At 45.9% G+C, this 25,197-nt stretch overlaps 1 long non-coding RNA gene across 1 annotated transcript in view; it reads right to left on the bottom strand.

Moving 5' to 3' along the window:
• Nucleotides 1–4,409: 4,409 nt before the first annotated feature.
• LOC107986849 (uncharacterized) overlaps nucleotides 4,410–25,197 on the bottom strand; it is a 37,873-nt gene continuing 17,085 nt past the window's right edge. Inside the window, exons 2-3 of the long non-coding RNA XR_001745363.2 lie at nucleotides 11,892–12,041; nucleotides 4,410–9,184 (exon numbers count right to left, since the gene is read on the bottom strand). This is a non-coding gene — a long non-coding RNA (uncharacterized LOC107986849). The remainder of the gene's footprint in view (nucleotides 9,185–11,891; nucleotides 12,042–25,197) is intronic.

The raw sequence follows: 25,197 nt of genomic DNA, 5'->3' as shown, positions 1-25,197 counted from the left end.
CGCAAGAGGGGCTGTATGCCAAGAAGTTGAAGAACTGTGTAGATTGGAGACAACCAGGACCACTGCCCACCCCCCAGAGGAGCTGAAACCAAGTCCTAGAGTGTTGAAGCCCTGTGTGTACCCCAAAACCATTCAGAGGAGAGAGTTTTGCCAGATTCCCCAGGAAAGAAAAGTGCTGAGGAGAGAGGGTGGCGACTGAGTGAAGGAACACCTGAGGGAAAATATCTGAGGGTGGAAGTTGTTGAATAGCAAGACACTTACATGGTTTCGATGTATCTCCCCAACAGGTTACTTGTCAATTACAAAAGAAAAGAAAACCATAACAGCAGAGTAATCTGGCAGATGCCAATTTAACCAAGGGATTGAAGCTGATGTCTTCAACAATGAGACTAACCCCCATCTTTGCTTCCTGATGTGAGACTTCCCCATGGCGCAACAGTCCTAACCCAGCAGAAACCTCAGACAAGTCCAAACCCAGGGACATTATGCAAATTGACTGGCCTGTACTCTTCAAAAATGTCAAGGTCATGAAAAACAAGAAAAGGCTGAGGAACTATTTTAAATTAAAGGATAATAAAGAAACACCATAACAACAGCAATGTGTGATCCTGGATTGGATTCTGAACAACCCCCAAAATTGCTATAATGGACATTATTGGGACCACTGGTGAAGCTGGACTGTGGACTGTAGATTAACTGACAATAATCAAATCAGTGTGAAATGCCTTGATTTCAATACTTGTAACAAGGTTTTGGAAGAGAATGTCCTTGCTCTTAGGAAATACATACTAAATTATTAAAGGGTAAAGGGACTTTATGTGGGGAAGTTACTCTCAAGGGGTTCAGAAAACCAATGATATCTTTAGAGAGAGAATAATACAGCAAATGAGGTGAAATACTAACAATAAGTGAATCTAGACAGGTAGCATAAGGGCATTCTTTGTACTTTTCTTTTAAAAATCTTTAAGTTTGAAATTCTTTCAAAATAAAAAGTGAAAATGAAAAAGGATCTGAAGGAAGAGCATTTGACCTCAAGGGAGAATTGTAAAGGACCAACCCAAATTCCTCTTGCAGTAACTGGGATCAAGACTTCAGTTTAGGCCCTCAACAAGGGATGACAAAAGAACAAAGCTGTTTTTCCTAAACTGCACTTCCTCCAGAATCTGAAAAACACTTGTTTTTATCTCTTTGCCTGCTGCCTCCCCATATTTCAGAATCTCCTGCAGAGCCAGTTTCCATTTAGACAGGAAGCCAGTATTGAAATCTGTCTCCCTACAAGTCACTCCATGAGGCTCTGGGATGTAAAGATGAAAAAGAAACTGACTGTTCTGCAGGATTCAGATGTCTGATGGGAGAGAAGGAAATGTGAGTAGCTAGTCTCATAAAATGCTGAGACAGCTGCACACGGTACCATGGGGAAACAGAGGCACAAACTCTGGAAAGTTGACTCCAGGAAGAGGTATGAGGGGTGACACTACAGCTAGGTATGAAAGTGGGAGGAGTTTGCCAGTTAGGTGGGAGAGAAAGGAGGCTAAGGGGCAGCAGCATTTTCTAAAGGTTCAAAATGAGAAAAACCTCAGGATTCCAGGGCCAGGCTTGTTCTGGGAATACCCAGTATCTAGTGGAAATGGAGGGTATAAGTAGCAGGAATAGTAAAACCATAGGTAGGGGCCAGACCACAGAGGTTTTATCTACATGCCAGTGCCTGGGCAAAGGACAGCCCACGATGCAAGAGAGTAATGTGATCAGATGTGATTTGCTCTAGAAAATTCTTGTTGCCATATGAAAAATGTATTGGTTGGAGGCAAGACAGGAGACAGGGAGCATAGTTAGGAGGCAGTGACAGTGATGAGGCCTGCAAGGAGGAGGCAGGCCAGGACTTACACAATCCCTGGGTGTGAGTGTCTCCATAAATTTTACACCCTGGGCATCTCATTTACCTCATCCCAGTCTAGCCCTGGGGAGCAGAAGAGCCATTTATGCAAGTGGTAGAATCCTCAGGATGCAATGATTGTGGGTATGGGGATGACGTGGAGGGAGAGAGGGGATAGTTTAGGGAGACTTCTTGGTCCTGGAGACAAGGGTTTGCACAGTGTGAAGTACAAAGGAGATATAATAATGTTCAATTAATGGCAGAGTGGGAGAAGATATCACCTTCCTCTGGGCAAAGGCCAGGGCTAGCACTCCTGAGCTGACTGGATTCCCCTACTAATGAGGATGCTAACCAGGGCACCTCTCCCTCCCTGTAGGGGTCAGTCTAGTTGGCCTGCCTAGTGCAGTGTTTGCCAGTTGGCCAATTATTGTTGAACAAAGAGGAACTTCCAGGGGTCTGATTTTCTGGCACCCCTGCCCTTGTAGGACAGCAGTCAAGAAGTGCTCCCAGGCCCCCTGGGAGGTTGGCCCTAATCCTGGTCCAATGACCAGCCCCAAGCACAGCCCTTAGCTTTTGGTGTAAGCACAACTGTTGTGAAAGGCCCAAATCTCCCTTCCCCCAAGGGATAGAGAGGTGGAGATAATGCTTTTTATTCCACAGATGGGACACCTGAAAATAAAGGGATGTCTTAGTCTGTTCTGGCTGCTATAACAAAATATTGTAAACTGGGAGGATTATTAACAACAGAACTATTGTTCACAGTTCCGGAGGCTGAGAAGTCCAAGATCAAAGAAGATTCAGCATCTGGTGAGGGCTCATTTTCTGGTTCATAGAAGGCACCTTTTTGTGGGGTCCTACATGACAGAAGGAGTGAATGAGCTCTCTGGGGCTTCTTTTATATGAGCACTAATCCCATTCATGAGGTTTCTACCCTAAAGGCCTAATCACTTCACAAAGGCTCCACCTCCTAGTACCATCGCCTTGGGGGTTAGGATTTCAACAAATCCATTCTAGGGGTGGGGTACATAAACATCCAGCCCATTGCAAGAACTTACTCAGAGTCCTACAGGACATTTTCCTTCTAGTTTTTTGTTTCCGGTACTTAAGCTTTGACCATAGAGTGGCTTGTTACATTAGTTAATATTTTTTAGCTATCTTATGTCTTATAATCGTGTGTATATTGTTTCTCTGATCAGGACACCTGTCCTTCAAAATTAGGGACACTGTTGTCATTATTTATCCTTAACTCTATATCACAGGGGAGAGAGGAAGAGCTTCTAGAAGCTCTGATTGAATGCAAATTACTAATGAAAGAAAGCTTGAAATGTTTTTTCTGACATATTATTTTACATAAGACTAGTGCTTGTAACATTGAAGAGGACATTCAGGCCCCTAAATGTTGCATGGATTACCCAAGTTCACATAATTGACAAGTTCAGGACCTGGGTCTGCTGATTTCTACTCAAGGGCTCTTCCCATCACAGCAGGGGCCGTGGGGAGGCACACAGAGCCCTTGGGAAGTGCAGGGACTCTGGCTTCAAGCCACCTGTTTCGCTTGCCCAGCTTTGTGACCTTGGGCAGGTAGCTGAAGCTCTCTGTGCCTCAGTTTCCAACATCTCAACCAAAGCAGGGAAGGTGATGACATTTGCCTCAGAAAGCTATTTTGAGAATCAGAGGAGCTAATATAGAACTCAGTAACATTTGTGTTCATATTTCCTGGGCACACAGCTGAACTGGCGCTTCTCAAACTTTTTTTTTTTTTTTTTTTTTTGAGATGGAGTCTCACTCTGTTGCCCAGGCTGGAGTGCAGTGGTGCAATCTCAGCTCACTGCAACTTCTGCCTCCTGGGTTCAAATGATTCTCCCACCTCAGCCTCCCGAGTAGCAGGGATTACAGGCGCACGCCACCACACCCGGCCACTTTTTGTATTTTTAGTAGATATGGGGTTTTGCCATGTTGGCCAGGCTGGTCCCGAACTCCTGACGTCAGGTGATCCACCCACCTCAGCCTCCCAAAGTGCTGGGATTATAGGCATGAGCCACCACGCCCAGCCTCTCAGCCCCTCATGTACATGAGTCACCTGGGAATCTTGTTAAAATGCACATTCCCTCTCAGCAGATTGGGGTGGGGGCCTGAGATTTTGCATTTCTATCAAGCTCACAGATTATGTTGATGCTGCTGGTTGGGGGACCACGCTTTGAGTGCAAGGAGGAAAAATAACAGAAAAACTTGCCCATCCTTCAGCCATATAACAGAACACTTTTCTGGGGCTTAAATGATGCTCCATTTGTTGATGTGGAAGTATGCTAACTGAGCAGATGTAGAAAAGATGTAGAATAGAATTTCATATTGTTTAAATATAGCTAGATAAACAGAATAATAGGATTTATCAGATAGGAGAAAGAGAAAGGGAGGGAGAATGAGATGGGGAAAGGCGAGGGAGAGGGAAGGAGAGGGAGGAAGGAGAGGAGAATGAAAAAGTTGCATAAAAAGTCTTGACAATGGTTATCTCTGGGGGATGGAATTGCAGCTCTTATTTTTTTTTTCCTTATAAGTATTTGAATTTTCCCATTTTCTACTATAGCCATGCATTTTTTTAATAATGTGAAAAAAGTTATTTTCCTCTTTAAATGAACTCTAAATATGCGTTCATTTATCTGCCTAAAATGCATTCATTTATAGCACTCCCTATAAACAAGGTGGTAGCTCCAGTTGGGTGGTCCTTGGGTGCCCCATAGGGAGTTAGTCATTGGCCCTTTGGAAAGGGATGTGATGAGGGTCAGGCAACAGCTGAGAAAAGCCTCAGCCCAGGCTCCTCAGAAAGATGCTCTGAGTATCCAGGGTCACTTGAGCTGTCCATCCTAGCCACTGGCCATGCACCTTGTGGGCCACAGGCAACAGGACAAGAGGTAACCCTGAGCCCTGGGATGGGGCCAAACACTGTAGCTGAGATAACCATGTGACTTGGGGGAGGGAGCAGCACCTGCTGACATCCCTGACTGACAGTCCCCTTCAATCTGATCAGTGTTCCTGCCATGTCCCCTGGCTTCTCCCCAGGGCTCTTTCTCTTTGTACCACATTGTTTCACTCTCTCTCCTCTAAATAAAATTTAAGTCCTTAAGACACTGTCCTTAATAAGTCCTCCCTTCTTATCCCACAGGGATACACAGCACCCTGATTATTTTAGCTTTTCAAATGGGAAAACAAGTAGGGTAGAATAGGGACCCACAGTGGGCCCCACAGCAGACAGCATCAGAGTCAGACTAACAGCCTGGGGATCTGGTTTCTGGGAAGGAATTCCCTAACCTTATTTCTCTTATGCCTTTGAGAAACAGAACCCAGCCCCTGCTGCAAGGGTCTTGTAGGCAGAGGTCTAAAGGAGTGAAACATGCATCCAAGAGCATATGGGCTCTCTGCCCAATCCCGCACCACAGCTCCATGAACTCACAGCCTTCCACTGTGAGTCCAGGGTGACCAACCAGGCCCATGGCCACATGGGGAGTATCACTTGGGGGAGGCAGAGCTGTAAGAACAGACACAAGGCATTCAGTGGCCTGAAGAATAAGAAGTCTATTTCCCTTTTATGTGATAGTCTAGATGGGTTTCCAGGTTGAAAGCACAGCTCTGCTCCATGTAGTTATTCAGAGCTCAAGCCACCAGCTGCTCTGCCATCTTCAGTGTGTGAATTCTAAGGCTTCCCTGGGAATGGGCATTTCAACCAGCCAGAGGGAAAAAGGACATAGAGAAGACAGGGAGAGGTTTTGACAGGCCAGGTGTGGAGGGGGCATTTATCATTTCTGTTCATGTTCTATGATTAGATCTCAGACCCATGGCCTGATCTAACATCAGAGGAGGGAAATTATTCTAGTTGTATGCCCTGGAAGAAGAGGACATGAGTTTTGATGGACAGGCAGCAGTCTCCACCAAATTTTATTACCTTGAGTCAGACTCCAAATTTCAGTGTCATAAACAATTATTGAGCACCTACTGTGTGCCAGGCACCATACAAGGCACTAGAGACCCAATGATGAATAAAGCACAGTCCCTGCCCTTGAGAGGTTCATATGCAGGAGAGGTCCTCACTGTGGGCAGTGACTGAAACCTACATCACAGGATTTGGGAATGAGAAAATATAGCCAACCCAGGCCCCTCCTACGCTCTGCATTTGCAACAAAGAAAATAATAAGGGAATTGTGCTCCATGGGCATGCAAATGAGGACTAATGAAGGTCGCAGGTGATAAATTGGTGCATAGATGTGCAGGTAGGGTGCCCCAGACCAGGTATGCATGTGTTTGAATGTGTGCATGTGTGTGTGAGCACATAGGCATGTGCTGGAGTATATGGGTGTGTGTGAAAGAAAGAGAGGATTAAATCTTGTTTAGGACTAGCCAGCATCTTCAACTAACATGATCATTTCCTCTCTATTCTGAATTCGAAAGGACTGCATTATCCTGGTCTAGAAGTTTAAGTACAGTAGCTGCAAATGAACTTTATTCCTCCTTTTATAATAATATTCTTTCTTATTCTTAGATTTTCCCTCAGGATGATTTAATTCCATTCCACAAAGTTTAATAAAAATGTATCCCATCACCTTCTAACCCAAGGTCTCAGCCTCTCCTTTTCCCTCAATTCTTCAACGCAGTGGTCTAAGTGGAGCACAGTGACCAGTCATCCAGGTACAAGAAGAACATCCTGGCCTCCAAGGGAGCTGAAAGGAGAGCCCTCTGACCTAGTGTATTCTCAAAGACCAGACACACAGCCCTCCCTGGCAAAGAGTTCCCAGCCCAGTTCCCAGCAGAACTGGCTGGGATAGAACCATTTCCATGGAGCAGGCAAGCAGACAGCAGTTGGTGGTTTTCTGTCCAGAAACAGAAGATGCTAAGGTGTAGGAAGATAGGAAGGAAAGGCCCAAGTAAATGGAGAATATTGCACACCTTAGCAAAATCAGGAAAGTTGGACATCCTGAGATGAGGAGGGGGCAGCAGACCTGGTCTGGAGAAGCCTGCAGAGGGACAACCAAAGGGGTAGTTAGAAGCTGATGGGTCCATGAGCTTCCAGCATTTTAGGCAGACAGCAAGATCTGAGGCATTTGGTTCCAAAGCTGGAGTGGAGCCCAGGAGGAGCACTTCGCAACTACAGGCCCCCCAGGGAGATGCTGTGTTCACCATCTCCTACAGTCACCTCCAGGTAGCTCCATTCTGTCCCTGGGAGAAGAGGAGTACTGCGTAGGCTCCAGCCTGCACAATCTGGAGTGGCCACCACTTACCCCTTCTGCAAGGAAGAACCTTGCTGGTCAGCATCACACCAGCCTGCAGCCCTCCTCCTGCTCCCAGGCTGAGGATCAGAGAAGTGATGGGACAAGGGCACAGCCACCCTTCAGGGATCAACCAGGTGGTGCCAAACTTGCCCTGAGTCTTGCTGCAGTGGGAGAAAGAGAGAAATCCATAGTCATAGTAAGGACAATATACAAGCAATCATGATGATTCTTCCACCTGCACAGAGCTTTATATTTAGCAAGGTCCCTTCCTTTCTGTTGTCCCCATCCATGGCCCGGGGTGGAGACATTAGGAAGGCAGGAAGAACCCCCTGCTCCATCCTTCATCTGGGGGATCACCCCCTCTGGCAGAAGGAAATAGGCAGCACAGAGCCTGGCCCCGGTTTCCACAACTTGCACTGGTGGATGATGTGCAGCTGCGTCCTTACAATTTGCTGGCGTGAGCACTATCCATGATGGCCCCTGCCTTGGGAGGAGACACTGTCAAGGCCCCCTGGTGCCAGAGGCATCCTCAGAGGACATTCAGCCACTGCCTCTGCCTCTGGGAAAGACAGGCAGCCCCTGAGTCATTGCGGGCAGATGGGAGCCTGTCCTATTTTTTCAAAATATCCACAAGACATGGCACCATCTGCTTAGGTAGTCAAATGTGTATGATGATCTGACAAGGCCAAATAGGAAACTGTTATAGTACCATTTATGGCTGGGATCAGCAATCTGTGAGAATGAAAGAATCCCTTTTATCTGAACAGCACTTTTTAGTTTACAAGGTACTTTCTGAGGAGCTTTCTAGTTTTCTAAAGACTTACCTGTGACACTTCATAAAGGAGCACTACTTTTTAAATATGGACCTTATCGCTAAGAATGAATGAGTAGTCTTGGATGTGACCTGGGTGTTTGTAGTTTTAAAAAGGCCCACAGATGATTCTGATGCACAGCCAGAAGGTGTGGCATCATCTCCTTACTCCTCATGGCTGCCCTGAAAGATAGGACATCCCCTGGTAGGCCTGATTTGCAGATGAGAAAACTGAGGCTCAGGACACTGAAGATGCTTGTCCAGGGAAACATCATTAGCTAAGACCCCAGTCCAGGTCTTCTGAGCACTGGTCAGTGCTCCTTCATCTCCTCTTACTGTCCATCATCAGCAGGCTGGAAGGAAGCTCCTCTGTTCAAAAACATACCTCCAAGGAGGGTGGGACCTCTGAGTCATCCACGTGCTAATTAATTTAACATGTTTTGTCATGTCAGCCATCAAGCTTTACATCATTGTGAGGGAAAGAAAGGAGGTAACCCTCTTAAACCATGAGCAATGTCAACTGAAGACCAGCCCCATCCAAGTGGTACGTGCATGTTGAAACTGTTTAAGGTAGTTTCCAGACTTTCTTGGTAATAAAAACCACCTGAGACACTCAAACTGCAAATTTTTTTTCTTAAAAATATTTTTAGAAATTTTTTTTAAAAGACTGGATCAGGATCTCCAGCAGAAGGGATGAAGAAAACTACAGCTCTAATGGGTGACTTGATGATTCCTGTCCTCACAGAAGTTTGGGGGAAATTGCTCCAGGACAGTGGTTCTCAACAGGGGAAGGTGGTTGCTGAAGCATGGCAGGGCTCCAACTCAGCACTCTCTTCTTAAAAGTTGTCCTTGAGTCCTTTCTGGGTGGCAAGAAGATCCATCTAAAGTAGGGTTTCTCAATCTCAGCACTACTGACATTTAGGCAGGTGAATTCCTTGTCATGGGGTACTGTCCTGTGCGTTGGAGGGTGTGCAGCTGCAGCCCTGGCCTCTCTCACCAGATGCCAGCAGCACCGCCTATTCAGTTGTGACAACCAAAAATATTTTCAGATGTTGCCACATGGCCTGGTGGGCAAAGTCGTCCCCTGTGGAAAACAGATGGAGTCTAGTAGAAAGGATGGTCTAGTGGAAAGGATGGGGGCTCAGGTGTAGAGACCCCTGGTGGTCTCAGGTCAGTTCTGCTATGACCCTCCTTGTGTGATGAGGCTGTACACACGACTCCCTAAGGCCTCAATTCCTTCATCTGCAAAAAAAGGGACAAAGTCTGTCTTGCAGCAGTGTTGTAAAGATAGATTCTGAAGCAGAATGCAAGAGTTCTAACTTCCTTAGTAAAAGGCACCTAAAGGTGGGGAGAATTAGTCACAGTTCCGCTAAAGCTTCTGGGATTAATCCAACAATTAACCCCGTAGAGGCTGCTTCCTCGACTCTGCCACCAAAGCAGATGCCCACCTGAGCAACCATTCTGGAATCAGCTTATGGCATTGACTTTCTCTGCCACTCTGTGGGTCATCTCTACTGGCCCTAATTTCCCTCTACTCTTCCCTGCAAAGAGGGAGAGGGGGAGAGCAAGAAAGAACCACACAGCCCTTCATAAACAAGTCATTGGAGGTTAGGGCATCCTCCACGACCAGAGTGGTATGCGCATGTTGAAGTGATCTGTGCGTGTTGAAGTGGAATGTGCATGTTGAAGTGGTCCGTGCATGATGAAGTGGTCTGTGCATGTTTAATTGGTCTGTGCATGTTGAAGTGGTCCGTGCATGTTGAGGTGGTCCATGCATGTTAAAGTGGTATGCGCATGTTGAAATGGTATAAGCATGTTGAAATAGTATGAGCATGCTGAAGTGGTCCATGCATGCTGAAGTGATACGTGCATGTTGAAATGGTATGAGCATGTTGAAGTGGTCCATGCGTGTTGAAGTGGTATGCACATGTTGAAATGGTATGAGCATGTTGAAGTGGTCCATGCATGTTGAAGTGTCTGTGCATGTTGACGTGGCATGTGCATTTGAAGTGGTACGTGCATGTTGACTTGGTCCATGCATGTTGAAGTGCTCTGTGAATGTTGGAGTGGTATGCACACGTTGACATGGTCCATGCATGTTGAAGTGGTAGGTGCACGTTGAAGTGGTATGTGCATGTTGACATGATAGGTGCATGTTGAAATGGCCGTGTATGTTGAAGTGGAATGTGCATGTTGAAGTGGCCTGTGCATGTTGAAGTGGTCGTGCATGTTGAAGTGATATGCAAATGTTGAAGTGGTCCATGCATGTTGAAGTGGTCCATCCGTGTTGAAGTGGTCTGTGCATGTTGAAGTGCTATGCACATGTTGAAGTGGTATGCACGTGTTGAAGTGGTAGGTGCAAGTTGAAATGGTCGCACATGTTGAAGTGGTATGTGCATGTTGAAGTGATATGCACATGTTGAAGTGGGCCACGCATGTTGAAGTGGTATGCACATGTTGAAGTGTTCCACGCAGGTTAAAGTGGTCTGTGCATGTTGAAGTGATATGCACATGTTGAAGTGATATGCGCATGTTAAAGTGGTCCATGCATGTTGAAGTAGTCTGTGCATGTTGAAGTGGTATGCACATGTTGATGTGGCCCATGCATGTTGAAGTGGTCTATGAACGTTGAAGTGGTTTGTGCATGTTGAAGTGGGCCATGCATGTTGATGTGGTCCATGAATGTTGAAGTGGTCTGTGCATGTTGAAGTGGTATGCACAAGTTGACATGGTCAGTGCATGTTGAAGTGGTAGGTGCATGTTGAAGTGGTCTATGCATGTTGAAGTGATATGCACATGTTGACATGGCCTGTGCATGTTGAAGTGGTAGGTGCATGTTGAAGTGATATGCGCATGTTGACATGGTAGGTGCATGTTGAAATGGCCATGCATTTTGAAGTGGAATGCACATGTTGAAGTGGTCCATGCATGTTGAAGTGGTATGAGCATGTTGAAGTGATACGTGCATGTTGAAATGGTCCATGCATGTTGAAGTGGAATGCACATGTTGAAGTAGTCTGTGCATGTTGAAGTGGCATATGTATGTTGAAGTGCTATGCACATGTTGAAGTGGTCCATACATGTTGAAGTGATATGTGCATGTTGATGTGGTAGGTGCATGTTCAAATGGCCATGCATGTTGAAGTGGAATGCGCATGTTGAAGTGGTCCATGCACGTTGAAGTGGAATGTGCATGTTGAAGTGGTCCATGCATGTTGAAGTGGTATAAGCATGTTGAAGTGCTATGTGCATGTTGAAGTGGTCCACGCATGTTGAAGTGTTCTGTGCATGTTGAAGTGATATGCCCATGTTGACATAATCCATGCATGTTGAAGTGGTATGTGCATGCTGACATGGTCCATGCATGTTGAAGTGATAGGTGCATGTTGAAGTGGTATGTGCATGTTGACGTGGTAGGTGCATGTTGAAATGGCCATGCATGTTGAAGTGGAATGCACATGTTGAAGTTGTCAGTGCATGATGAAGTGGTCTGTGCATGTTGAAGTGGTATGGGCATGTTGAAGTGGTATGCGCATGTTGAAGTGGTCTGTGCATTCTCACTTTCATCTCCAAAGCCCTTTCATAGAGCTTAACAACAGCACACAGGGTAAACCTCCAATAAAAATTCTTTGTAAACATATGTTTTCAGCTCCAGGTAATAATACCTTCCATGCTTGTACTAGAGTGATAAAAAGGCATCTAGACAGAGGTGTACTTTCCTGGCGTTAAATAATCAGCATTTCAGTAGAGCCTGGTTAGAGGTTTGATGCTTTTCTGGAGACAGTACCTGGGGACCAGGCTTTCCTTAATAGGTTAAGAGCTACATAGTACACAAGTGACCCTCAATTGATACAGGGTGTATAAAGACAGAGCTTGTCCTAATAACAGTCTTAACTTACATCAATCATGCCATGGACCAGACTCAAGTATGAGTGCTTCACCCACTTACTTCTCACAACGATGCTATAAAATTGGTACTGTTGTTATCACCGTTGTAGATGAGGAAACTGAGGCACAGAGAGGTTAAGCATAAGGAGGAAGGATATGTCCATAGCCAGTGAGTGGCTAAAAAGCAGTCAAAGCCAAGGAGTCCAGGCATCTGAAGGAGAAGAACAGAGTCATGTTAATTTGAGTTTCAGCCCCTCCCCACTCCTACTAAACTGAACATACAGAATGTACCCACTCATGTTAATCAAGCATTCCAAAAATGAGAAGTTCTGTGGACGAGTGGAAAGAACATGAGTTTGGAAGTCAAGTTAATTCCTCCATCTGTATGACCCTGCATAAGTTACTTAACTTCTTTATTAAGCCCTAGTTTATTCAACTGTAAAAATGTGAACACACCTCACACAATTATTTTAAGGGAAATAAAATGAGGTAGTGTTCATCATACAACACCTGGCACAGAGCTGGCCACTTGGCAGTTCCTTGGTAAAAGTTTCTTCTCTTCCCTCTTCCTCACTTCTTGTTGAAGACCTTGTCATTGACTCCTGGACAGTGAGATAAATCCTTCTCTCATGTCAGAAATCATCCCCCAATCCAGGGGTTTAGTGGAAGACAAACTGGTATCTACACTTGCTCAAACTCAGGTTGACTGACACACACAACAAGGGGCTTATTATCCTCTGTGTTAAATTTGGCCCCACATCCTTCTTTTAACCTATATTTGAGGATCTACCATACGCCAGAATGTTCTAAGCCATGGGATACATCAGTGAACAAAACAAAAATGGGTCACCTTGCAGGGCATCCTTTCTAAACATGGCCACTGGTTACTGTCTACAGGGTCAGATTTACATGTGTTCTATTCCAAGGACTATTCAGGTCATATGGTGTGACTGGAGGGGACTTGATAACCACCCTCCAAAGCCTGATTACCACCCTAGGAGTAATTCTCTTGGTTTGGGGATGGCATTCTATGGCATTGCCTCAAGTTAAGCCATCATCAGTCATTAACCTGTGGGAGTGAATTTATCCAAAGGATCCAGGTTCACACTGTATCTCCCCATGCTCATCCTTTCAGTTTCTAGATCTAGTGATTCTCTGAGCTCTGCGGTGTAGCTCCTGCACAGCAAAGTGCCTATTTCACCATTTTCTATCATATGAGGTGGGGAGGAGATCAGAAGAGGGGACAGAATGCAGAAATTTCTGCATTCCTACTTTGAAACAGGTCTGTGATTTGTCACTCCTCTGCCTCAGTCTCATTCCTATTCCTGAAACTGTGCAAGAGCTTGGGCAGAGGAGTCGTCCTATTGCTGTGAAACAGATATTAAGTTTTAGAAACCAGTCTTCTTTGGAAAACTCCATGCCTCGCTCTGCTGTCTCCGGATGTCATGGATACAGAGAAGAGTCATTCTTTGCCTTGGGGAGAGAGAGAAATTGAATCTAGAAACATCACATGGATCATCTTAGCAGCATCTACTGTATTAAAAAAGAAAGAAAAAAACACCCCACCAAAGAGGCACAGCCAAATTAATTGTTTTCCTGATTAACAAAACACAATTAAGCCCCAAATGCTGCCGCTTGGGGGAAGGTCATTTGCAGTTTTTTTCCAGGGACCGTTCTGGCCACAGAGCAATGACAACTTCATTCTGATCCCTGCAAGAGGGGCCGAGAGAGAAATAATGCCACAAACTCATTATGACCGTGCTGTCTAATTCCTCTCCAGGGAAGCCAGACCCCACATCAGCTCGAATGTGGGATACAAAGGCAGACAGGAATGTTGTCACTAAACAGCAGTGACAGTAGCTTCAAAGGACCGTGTGCAAACTAGGGTGATGAGGGGAGAGGGTGAGGGTAGCAGAAGCCATGGGTAAGACTGTTGGTTCCTGCAGGGCAGGGGTCCTAATAGTCCAATGGCCTAGAACTGCTCCTTGTGGAATCAAGCTAGCCTCTCAATGCACAGTTATGGAATTGGGAAGGAAAGAAAGGAGGAGGGATGGAGGCAAGCAGAGAGGAAGGAAGGAAGTTTATAATTGAGGTGACTTTATGAAACTGCATACTGGAGAACTGAAGCATAATTCCCAGTTTGTTTGTTTGTTTGTTTGTTTGTTTTTGAGACAGGGGTCTCACTCCCATCACCCAGGCTGAAGTGCAGTGGTATGATCAGAGCTCACTGCAGCCTCAACCTACCAGGCTCAGGTGATCCTCCCACCTCAGCCTCTCCAGTAGTTGGGACCAGTAGTTGGTGCAGATGCATGCACCACCACATCGGGCTAAGTTTTTGTATTCTTAGTAGAGATGGGGTTTTGCCATGTTGGCCAGGTTGGTCTTGAATTCCTGGGCTCAGGGGCATCCATCCACCTCGGCCTCCCAAAGTGCTGGGTTTACAGACATGAACAACCATGCCCAGCCCATAATTCCAGTTTTTTGTTTTGGGGGGTTTTTTTGTTTGTTTTTTGTTTTTTTGAGACAAGAGTCTTCCTCTGTCACCCAGGCTGGAGTGCAGTGGCAAATCTCAGCTCATTGCAGTCTCTGCCTCCCAGGTTCAAATGATGCTTGTGCCTCAGCCTCCCCAGTAGCTGAGACTACAGGTGTGCACCACCACACTCGGCTAACTTTTGTATTTTTTAGTAGAGACGGGGTTCCACTGTGTTGGTCAGGCTGATCTCAAACTTCTGGCCTCAAGTCATCTGCCTGCCTTGGCCTCCCAAAGTGCTGGGATTACAGGTGTGAGCCCCCGCACCAGGCATAATTCCCAGTTTTGAAGGTACAGTAATAAGAGTAAGAATGCCTCCCATGGTCACATGCCTCCAGTATTCCAGACCCCCTGCTGAATGCTTGCCATCCATAGCCTCGTTTCACCTTCCCAACAATCCTGCCCATTTTACATATAAGCAAATTCATGAAAGTTGAGTAACTTGTCCTAGGTCACAGCCAATAAGTAGAGTTGCACCCACATCTCTCCAACTCATATTGTCCGCCGCAGAGTCTTAGAGGCAATTTTCTCTGAAGCCACTCACCTGGGGTAGCACTAACAGTCACTGAGGCAGGGCTGAAGGCAGTGTGGCCCACCACTCCCTTCTGCATCACCAGCCCCTCTCTGCCAGTCAAGAGCTTCTGCATCACCACCCCCTCTCTGCCAGTCAAGGGCTTCCAGGGAGACACATCAAAGCAATGGTGGAACCCCTGACCTTAGGATAAAATGTCCTGTAGAGTCACCTCGCTGTCCACTCTCATGTCTCTAATGCTGAAGGTGCCTGTCTACCCATACCATGAAGCTGTGGGGTACAAGGCAGGGGAGATGGGGGAGGGATGAGGGTGGCAGATGGAGCTCAGGTCTTCAATCAGAGACAACCAGGCAGTACCCTAGTTCCACAAGCCTAGACAAGTCCTGACCTTTCTACCACCGTTCTTCATTGGTAAACCTCTCTAAGTCATTGCAAAGATTAGAGGTAAGTTATATAAAGCACTTGGCACATACAGGCTCTCAATAAGGAAGGGCTAGGATGGTGATTAGATGAAGATGTAACCAAAAGTTCAAGACATGTCCGGAACAATTTGTCTTCATCCAGAAGGAATGGGTGGAGGCAAAGCTCAAGCTACACAAACAGCAGGAACCTGCTTCCCTCTGGTGTCTTCCCTCTCCCACCACCTCCTCCACAGACAGCTGCCATTCAAGGGAACTCCCAGAAAGGCCAAAGGGTCTTGCCAAGGGGTCTTGTTAGAAGCCACCCTCCCATAGACTCTATGGCCTGGGGATCATTTTGTGTAGTGTCACTGACATGGTTTGGCTGTGTCCCCACCCAAATCTCATCTTGAATTGTACACCCCATAATTCCCACATGTTGTGGGAGGGACTCAGTAGGAGTTAATTGAATTAGGGGGGTGGTTTCCCCATACTGTTCTCATGGTAGTTATAGGTTTCCCCTTTCTCTTGGCTCTCATTCTCTCTTGCCTGCCACCATGTAAGACATGCCTTTTGCCTTCTACCATGATTGTGAGGCCTCCCCAGCAACGTGGAACTGTGAGTCCATTAAACCTCTTTTTCTTTATCAATTGCCCAGTCTCAGGTATGTCTTTATCAGCAGCATGAAAACGGGCTAATATAGTGACCAGTCTATTTCTTTGCCACATATGGAGGAGTCTAGGCATTGTTTAGTTGAGATCCCAGGAAACACTGTGCTGGATGAACGTCTTGACATTTTCTTACTTGATGCCTCAGTCTCCCCTCATGAAAAGTGAAGATCATTATCTCCATCAATTTCTCTCCATTCATTGATATTGTGAATATACAGGAGAAGACTCTGGAAATATTCCAAGAACCATTAGAAAGCTGGTAGGCCCGTAGGAAGTCTTGGAGAAAGACTTCCCTCCTTGGAGGAGGAGAATGTCTCTGTTCTGAGGGCTCAGTGGGGGAGATCCCAGCCTCGAGTTCCCTCTGTACCATTGCATCAATGCACTGCATAGCCCCAATTTTCCCCCCAAATCTCAAACAGCCTGTCTACTGAATAAACCAGGTGAGTGAGTACAAACACGCTCTAGAAACAGGCTGCCAGCTGGTATATCATTGCCACTGTCAGTTCCAACCAGGACCCCGAGCAGAGGGGAAGGAGCATCACAATGGGATGTGCAGGCATTTCCTGCCACACAGGAACACAGGCCACTGCGGCCTCCTACCATCGGCCACACTCTGCCTTTATTACTGTCTGGTGCCTTGTGTCTTGGACCAGTACTTCCTGCAAGCAGGAGCCCAACATGGGCTGTATCTAGGAGCCACAGACTCAGGAAGTCCAGGTCAAGGAAGGACCCAACGAAGGGAGGTGAATGGCCCCAAACCATGCGTCAGCCTTGCAGTGGTGAAATGATATGAGACAAGGGGACCACCTGTCCAGTGGTATCCCGGGAGCCACAAGATGGGAGAACCTGGTCTCACCTCCATTAGTGTCTTAGGAGCCTGGGCAGCAGGGTTTTTTCTGCCAGGCCCTTCTTTCTCAGAAGCCAGGCTGGGGGCTGCTCAGCTGAGATTCCAGATCCTTCAAGAGTCAAGGCCGCCTTGCTTGGATTCTTTATTGAACTCACTCACTTCTCCCTGAGGCTCAGTGTGGACCAGACATCATGTCCCGCCCCCTCACTGTGCCCCCTCTGCTCACCCTGCCTGACTGTAAAGAGAGACTCTCCTCCTGGTGACCTCTAACCTCCTCCCAGGGAGCATGCCCACTCTTTGTGCTCTGAGATGAGGGGCCACAGTTACTCCTCAGGGGAGGAGACACAAGTTACACTCCAGAAATAATAGGTCTTCTTGTCCATGGAGGTTTATGTACTTTACAGAGTACATTTCACATCCACTCTCTCATTTAATTTGTGCATTCAATTAGCAGATATTTATTGAGGGCATATGACATGCTGAGTGCTGCCCTAAGCAATGAGCATGCAGTGGAGAACATGATAGATGAAGACCCCATTCTCACAGGGCTTAGGCTGAGAGACAGGCAACAAACAAGGAAAGGAACAAGATACTTTTAGGTAACGATAAGAGAGCCCAAGAAGCCAGTTATGGTAAAGGCAAATTTTGTGATTCTATTGTTTTTTTGTGATTCTATTTTTTATGTGTGTGATTTTATTTTTTGTGTGTGTGATTCTATTGTTGGAGGGGGGCAGGTGGTGCCTCTATAGATAGGGTGGTCAAGACCTGTCTAAGCAGGCGACATTCATGAGCAGAGCCCTAAATGATGAAAGGAGCCAACTCTGATCTCTGGGAAACTACGCAGATGGGAAACAGCAAGCATTAAGATTCTGGGGCAGAAATGAACTTGGAATGTTTTCAGGACAATGACAGGCTGCTGTGGGTGACAGTGGAGGAGGGGAAGGGAGGGGAGGGGGGAGTTCAGTGGTGTCCAGAGCCCATGGATCTGGGAAGCAGACAGAGCAGACCCGACCCCCTGTGGTTGTGTCTGTTTATCAGGTGAGAAATGTGAAGGGGGTCCAGTCACTTGGCTGTATTAATTTGACATTGGAGCTTCCACTTGCACACAGTTCTCCAGACTCTGGGTCTTGTGCACTCTCCTGAACCAGCTGCCTCCATGGAGCATGGCTGTCAGGGAGGAGCTCATCTGTCTCCACCCTTTTGAGGCAGAAGCCACTCCCTCCATGTTCACACCACTGGGTACTATCTGTCCCTCTGACCTCTGAGGATTTGCATTCATTCATTCACTCAATAAATATTTGTTGAAGACACACTATGTGTCAGGGCTCTTTCTAGCAGCTGGAGATACAGCAGTGAATAAAACAGACAAAATCTCTCCCCCCACAATGGAGCTAACATTTAAGTAAGGGGAGATAGAAACCAAGTACATAGATATTTGTAAAATATGTTAAATGGTGAAAAGTGCTATGGAGAAAAATAAGAAGGAAAAAGAAGAAAGAAAACACAGGGTGTTGGGGTTCAACTTAATAGGAGAAGACCTCATGGAGGTGATGTCTGCACGAAGAGCTAAAGAAAGAGAGAAAGGAGCCACACAGCTCCCTAGGGGAAGAGCATTCCTGGCAGAGGAAACAGCAAATGCAATGCCCTGAGTAGGGAGACTGTTGAGGAGTTTGAGGAACTCTGATGGTATGAGATAGATAGATAGAGAAAGAAAGAAAGAAAGAAAGAAAGAAAGAAAGAAAGAAAGAAAGAAAGAAAGAAAGAAAGAAAGAAAGAAAGAGAAAGAAAGAAAGAAAGAAAGAAAGAAAGAAAGAAAGAAAATAGATAGATGATAGATAGATAGATAGATAGATAGATAGATAGATAGATAGATAGATAATAGAGATAGATTAGATAGAAAGATGATTAGATAGATAGATAAACAATGTTTGGATAGGTAGACAGGCAGACAGACAGACAGATGGATGGGCGGATTGACGGATGGATAGATAGATAGATAGATAGATAGATAGATAGATAGACAGACAGACAGATAGATAGATGATAGATAGATAGATAGATAGACAGATGAGTTTTCATCCATGGTTCCTGGCTCAACTCTCATAGCCCTTGTTGTAATGTTGGGCACTTTAAGCCAGCTTTAGAAAACAATCACAAATACATACACACACACACACACACACACACACACACACACACACACACACCCCTTCTCCTGTCCCCTTTCACCTGCTCCTTCTTCTCCCCAGGGCTGGAATTTTCCCCTACCTTTCTGTCTTGGAGCTGGCAATAAAAAATTCTCTGACCTACCTTGTCTGATTGCAGACCTTCATTTCAGAAGGGGTCCTGCCCCACATCCTGAAGCTAAGAGGAATCTGGACAGGCCTCACTGGGTTTCCCCACTCAGTCTATTCGTATTAGATCACACCCTTTTTCTACAATCATATTTCTACATGGTTGTGAATCATGCCTATCCAATGAAGTCTATATAAAAGGCCTAAGAGAACAGGGTTGGGGAGGCTTCCTGATAGCTGAACACATGGAGGTTCTTGGAGGCTGGCACTCCCAGACAGGGCGTGGAAGCTCTATGCCCCTTCCCCCACACCTCTCCCTGTGCATCTCTTCATCTGTATCCTTTGCAATATCCTTTATAATAAACCAGTAAATGTAAGTGTTTCCCTGAGTTCTGTGAGCTGCTCTAGAAATTAGCCCCCAAGGTGGAGGATCCCTGATTTATAGTCAGTCGGTCAGAAGCACAGGTAAAACAACCTGTGCAATTCACACTGAAAGTTGTTGGGGGAGCAGTCTTGGGGACTGAGCTCTCACGCATGGGATCTGACGCTATCTCTAGGTAGATAGCATCAGAATGGTGTTGGATTGGAGGACACCCCGCTGGTGCCACTGCAGGATTGCTTGCTTGCTTGTTGGTGGGAAGAAATCCCCATCCACTTGGTCACAGAAGGCTTCTGTTCATTGTTGTTGAGTGAAAGAATGCAAAAAAAAGACCTTGGAGTGTGCTTTTTCCACTCAAAGAAACACAGCAAGGAGGCAGTGTAGCTGGGGAGGAATAAGCAAGGGAAGAGACACTGGGGACCTGGAGCGTGCCGCACCACATCCCCTCCAGCCCAGGCTCCAGTCCCATGGAGGAAGGACCCTGCAGATAACACTGACTCCACATGCTCCTCACCGATCCAGGGCTCACTATCCAAAGACCTCGGCTGCACAGAGAACGTCTGAGAGCTAGATTTGGAGTAGGCAAAGTTCCCAGGGAAGAAAACATGGAGGTTTTAACAGGAAATGACATAAAGCGAAGAACTCCAGACTCTCAGCTAGAGCTACGTTGCAAGAGTGAAAAAGCATCACAGGCCTCTCAGCTTCATTTTAGCTCTCCACATATTTTACGCGTTAAATAACAGCCAGAACTTAATGAAAGCTAGTTACATAAATTTGGAGAAAACAGCAACAAAGCACTTCTCATAACACAAGACATCAGCTCTTTTATTGTTTCATTGCTCTTGGCATGAAAGTGAGTTACTGAGAGCAGGTACTTCAGAAGGATACATAATTTTTGTATTTTTCACCTTACCATCAAGAGTACTGACTCAATAGATCATTTGCTGTTAACAAAAAAATGACCCATGTCGAATCTCCTTTTTTCCCTGTTGCCTTTTTTTTTAACTAATTCAACACTCATCAAGTGACAGAGTGATGCTCACCTTTATTCACAGCTGTTGAAAACAGACTGCTGCTAGATTCTAGACTCTTAAAGGTACCACCTAGAAAGTTATACAAGGCTTTGTGCAGTGTAGAAGAAGGTCAAAGTCCATTGTAATGAACTCCAAGGAGATGTAGCCATATGTGGTGAGGCCACAGTGGAGCAGTACAGCCTTGTTGCTAAAATCTATGGTCTGGACCTGGTGCGGTGGCTCACGCCTGTAATCCCAGCACTTTGGGTGGCCGAGGCGGGCGGATCACCTGAGGTTGGGAGTTCAAAACCAGCCTGATCAACAAGGAGAAACCCCACCTCTACTAAAAAATACAAAAAATTAGCCGGACGTGATGGTGCCTGCCTATAATCCCAGCTACTTGGGAGGCTGAGGAAGGAGAGTCAATTGAACCTGGGAAGTGGAAATTTTGGTGAGCCAAGATCACGCCATTGCACTCCAGCCTGGGCAACAAGAGAAAAACTCTGTCTCAAAAAAAAAAAAAAAGAAAGAAAGAAAGTTAAAAGAAAAGAAAAGAAAAAGAAACCTATGGTCTGGAGTTGGACATCTTGGGCTCAAATCCCAGTTCTACTACTTACAGTTTGAGTTTCAACCATGCAAAAGCATCTTATGCAAAGTGACTTCATTCTAGCTCTTCAGAGATTTTATGCATCAAACTACAGCCAGATCGTAATGAAAGTTGTCAACCTAGGACAAGCATCTTAACGCAAGCCTCAGTTTTCTCATCCACAAAATGGGTATAGCAATGTTATCTACCTCAGAGAAGGGTTGAGATGTTAAACAAAAGAACCATTGAAAAAAATTTGCATGGAAACTGCTGTATGAAAGTAAGTTACCACCATTAGATTTTTATTAAAATACTGGAAATGGGTGGGCTAATCAGCTAGAATTGGGCATGTTTGTGGTTATAATGAAATCCAGGGACATGGTCAGTGAACTAAGCATCATCACAAAATGTTATAAAATTGGCTTCTGCACCTAGGCCTCCTATAGCATCACTTACCAAGAGCTGCCTCAGTCATTATCTTGCCCTGAGCCCCCTCCCAATCCCTCCTCTGTGAAACAGGTTAGACTCCATGCCCTACGAGGTCCCTTCTGGCTCTGTTGCGTGTCTCTAAACAGAGCTGGAACCACATGCGGGGAAGGATGACTACAGGAGGGCCTACACTGTCTGCCCTTTCCTGGAAGAGAAAACAACGCCCTCTTGCAGTTGATCACCTTACCCTTGGCTGGCCAATGTTCCTCAGATTCACATTCTTCCCTTCTGTGTGAGGCTGCCCCAGTTTTCCTTCGTAGGAAGTGAGGAGCTAGGATTATGAGATGAGGACCTCGCACATGTACACACACATATACATTCATGGGCACATGTGCTCACACACACACCCCCCTCTTGTGCCTGATGCCTCAGTTGCATAGAACAGGATGATTTAAGTCCTCTCTGGTGGCAGCATCTGCACCAGCTGCTGTATCCAGTGGAAGATGCTGTTAAATCTACCACAAATTGTCTAGAGATGGAGAACATCTGGATTCCTGGCAGGAAGATGAGAGAGAAAGCAGTTCTACTCCACATCCTACCCCTTGCTTGAAGTGATTCTCTTGCTCAGTGTTCTCCAATCCAGACACTTTGGCCAAATAGGCTGGTGCATGGGCCCAGCTGCAATGAGGCCTGGGAGTGTGAGGCCCGGGCCCGTGAGTAGCAGAAAATCTGGGATGAACTGCTCACTCAGCAAGGTAGAATCCAGAGGCTGTGCTTGCTGGCGGAGTCCTGGACTCCATCTCACTGTCATTTCTACCAACCTCCCCATGCCTCAGTTTCCCTAGTTGGGTTTCACACCAGCTGCTCAAGCAGTACGATGTGAAGTATGAAGATGATTCAGAGAACCAATTCCAAACCTCCAGAGGAGATCAGAACCTGCCATTTGAGTGCCTTGGTACCCAAGCTAATCTACCACATTTGGCTCCAGGCTTCAAATACAAACAGCTCCCCAGGGCGCTCTGCTCATCACTCCTCCAGGGCACCCTTGGATGGAACTTCAGACCTTTTCTGAAAAGTATGCCTGGCAGCTTCTTCCATGATGACCTTCCCAGTCCAGAACCTGCGGGATCCCCTGCTTGGAAGAGACCCACTTCCACTCCCCATTTCCCAGGCATGCCAGGGACCAGAGGGGGCTCTACCATATAAGCTGATGAATCTCCTAGTTCTGCTCCCTTGCTTAATAAACAAACATTTCTTCCTTGTTTCTCCATGTCCACTGCAGCCTCCGGGAGCCCAGGGCCTTCAGAAACTTCCATCCAGCAAGCAGGGAGAGTCTGGGAGCCCAGGAGGCTGCCTCCAGGACCACCACATCATCTGGGGCAAATCAACCCAATTCCTCTCTGCTTCAGTTTCCACGTCTGTAAAATATAGACAACAATCTCCCTCCTGCCTGATGCCCAAGGGATGTTTTGGAAAGCAAAATGAAGGCACTTTGGGTAGAAAATATTTAAATGTAAGTTGTTTGTAAAGTTTGGGGTTTGTCTGTTTGTTGCACTCAATTTAAGAACTCTTTTATTTTGTATTAACTCCCGTGAGATTATTTTGGATGAGAACAAGGCCTCTTTCTTGGGATCACTATCCTATTGGAGGAGATTAAAGAACCAGAGTAAAGTAGTAGTAGGACTAGGGAAAATAACAAAACAACACAAGCCAAAACAAACAACAAAAAGCCCCTCTGGAATCCAGAGACACTGAGTCTTCCAAACATCCCTGACAAAGCTCTTCCTCTCTCTGTTACCTTCATCATGGGAGAGGTGACAGATTGCAGGTATAAACTCCCTGCCCAAATGGCCCCTATAGTACTTGGCCCTTTTCCCTATCACTCTGCTTATAGTTCCAGAACTTGAATAAAAAGCTAAGAAAATAAGAATGTATAAAATAGAGTCAAATCTGTCTCTCCAGCTCATGAGTGTCAGCTAAGAGAGCACAGTTCAGGTACTACTGAAATCCTACAGGCTTCTGGATTGTGAGTGATACATCTCTCAAGCTAAAAGGTAGTTTCAGAGAAGAAATGATGGCCAGGCATTGTGGCTCACCCCTGTAATCCCAGCACTTTGGGAGGCCGAGGCAGGCACCTCACCTCAGGTCAGGAGTTCAAGACGACACTGGCCAACATGGTGAAACCCATCTCTACTAAAAATACACAAATTAACCTAGCATGGTGGTACTCGCCTGTAATCCCAGCTACTTGGGAGGCTGAGGCAGGAGAATCGCTTGAACCCAGGGGGCAGAGGTTGCAGTGAGCCGAGATTGCGCCACTGCACTCCAGCCTTGGCAACAGAGTAAAACTGTGTCTCAAAAAAAAGAAAAGAAAGAAAGAAAAAGAAAGAAAGAAGGAAGGAAGGAAGGAAGGAAGGAAGGAAGGAAGGAAAGAAAGAAAGAAAGAGAGAGAGAGAGAGAGAGAGAGAGAGAGAAAGAAAGAAGAAAGAAAGAAAGAAAGAAAGAAAGAAAGAAAGAAAGAAAGAAAGAAAGAAAGAAAGAAAGAAAAAAGAAGGAAGAAAAAAAGAAGGAAAAAAAGAAAGGAAGGAAGGAAGGGGATGATGATGATGATGAGAAGCCACTGTCACTACTATAGTTTATTGAGCATCTCATGTGTGCTATGAACTTTCCATGTTTTAATTCTAAGCCTAACATCAGCCTTGTAAGGCTGATGGTATTATTAGTTTCAGCAGCACTTCTCAAACTTCAGCATCTACCAGAATCACCTGGAGGACTTTGAAAACCCAGATTGCTGAGCCTCACTCAAGAGTTGACCATTCAGTAGGTCGGGGGTACAGCCCAAGAATTTGTATTTCTAACAAATTACTGAATGATGCTGATATTGCTGCTTGAGACACTGCGCTTGGAGAGCCACTGAGTTAGGTGTTCAAAGGAGGCATCATAAAAATTAAGTCATCTACCTATAGTCAAACCATTTAAAAACATCTGAGCTGAGATTCAGACCTAAGTCTGCTGATGCCAAGCCTTGCACCTGTATCTTGGAGTCTCATTGTCTCCTGAAGCTGAACCCCCTGCAGTTACCTAGAATCTGAAGCTTTTTGAAGAAGGTTTGAGGATAGAGCAAAGGAAAACAGGGCCAGATGTGTGAGACTTGGTGGAGGCCTGGGACTGCTTCAGAGGAATTCTGCAGACACGAAAGTTAACAGAAGTCATCCTGGATGCTTTGTTTATATGCCCAATTCCACCTCTAACCGGATGTGGTCCTCACGTGGTCCTCACGGACCATTTCAGGTCTGAAATTCCAAGAGGTCAATCCAAAAACTTGCCACAAGGTGACCTCTGAAACCTACTCCAATACTGTGAGGCTGAATCTAAGCCTTAATGAAGTCACTCGAACTGGTTGCTGTGACTCAGTTTCCTTGTTTATTGAAAAGGAGAGTTATTTCTATCACCTCAACGTCCCAGCTTGACTGTGTAAACAAGTGGTGCTTACAAATAAATGCCCAGTGCTCACAGCCCTTTCACAATGGGTGTCCTATAAACACCAGCCACCATCACCATTATTGGTGAGGTGCTGCGCTCTGCAAACTGGGAGGTTTGCAAAGCAATTTCCAAACATACTTCTCATTGTTGATCTTGGCAAGAGCTTTAAAACATTCCTGGATGCAAGCATTTCCTGCAGATTTTA

The sequence above is a fragment of the Homo sapiens genome, chromosome 7, assembly GCF_000001405.40.
Source record: "Homo sapiens chromosome 7, GRCh38.p14 Primary Assembly".
NCBI classification, from domain to species: Eukaryota; Metazoa; Chordata; class Mammalia; order Primates; family Hominidae; genus Homo; species Homo sapiens.
Note: the sequence above shows the minus strand (reverse complement) of the source record. Positions and strands in the feature narration are given on the sequence as shown.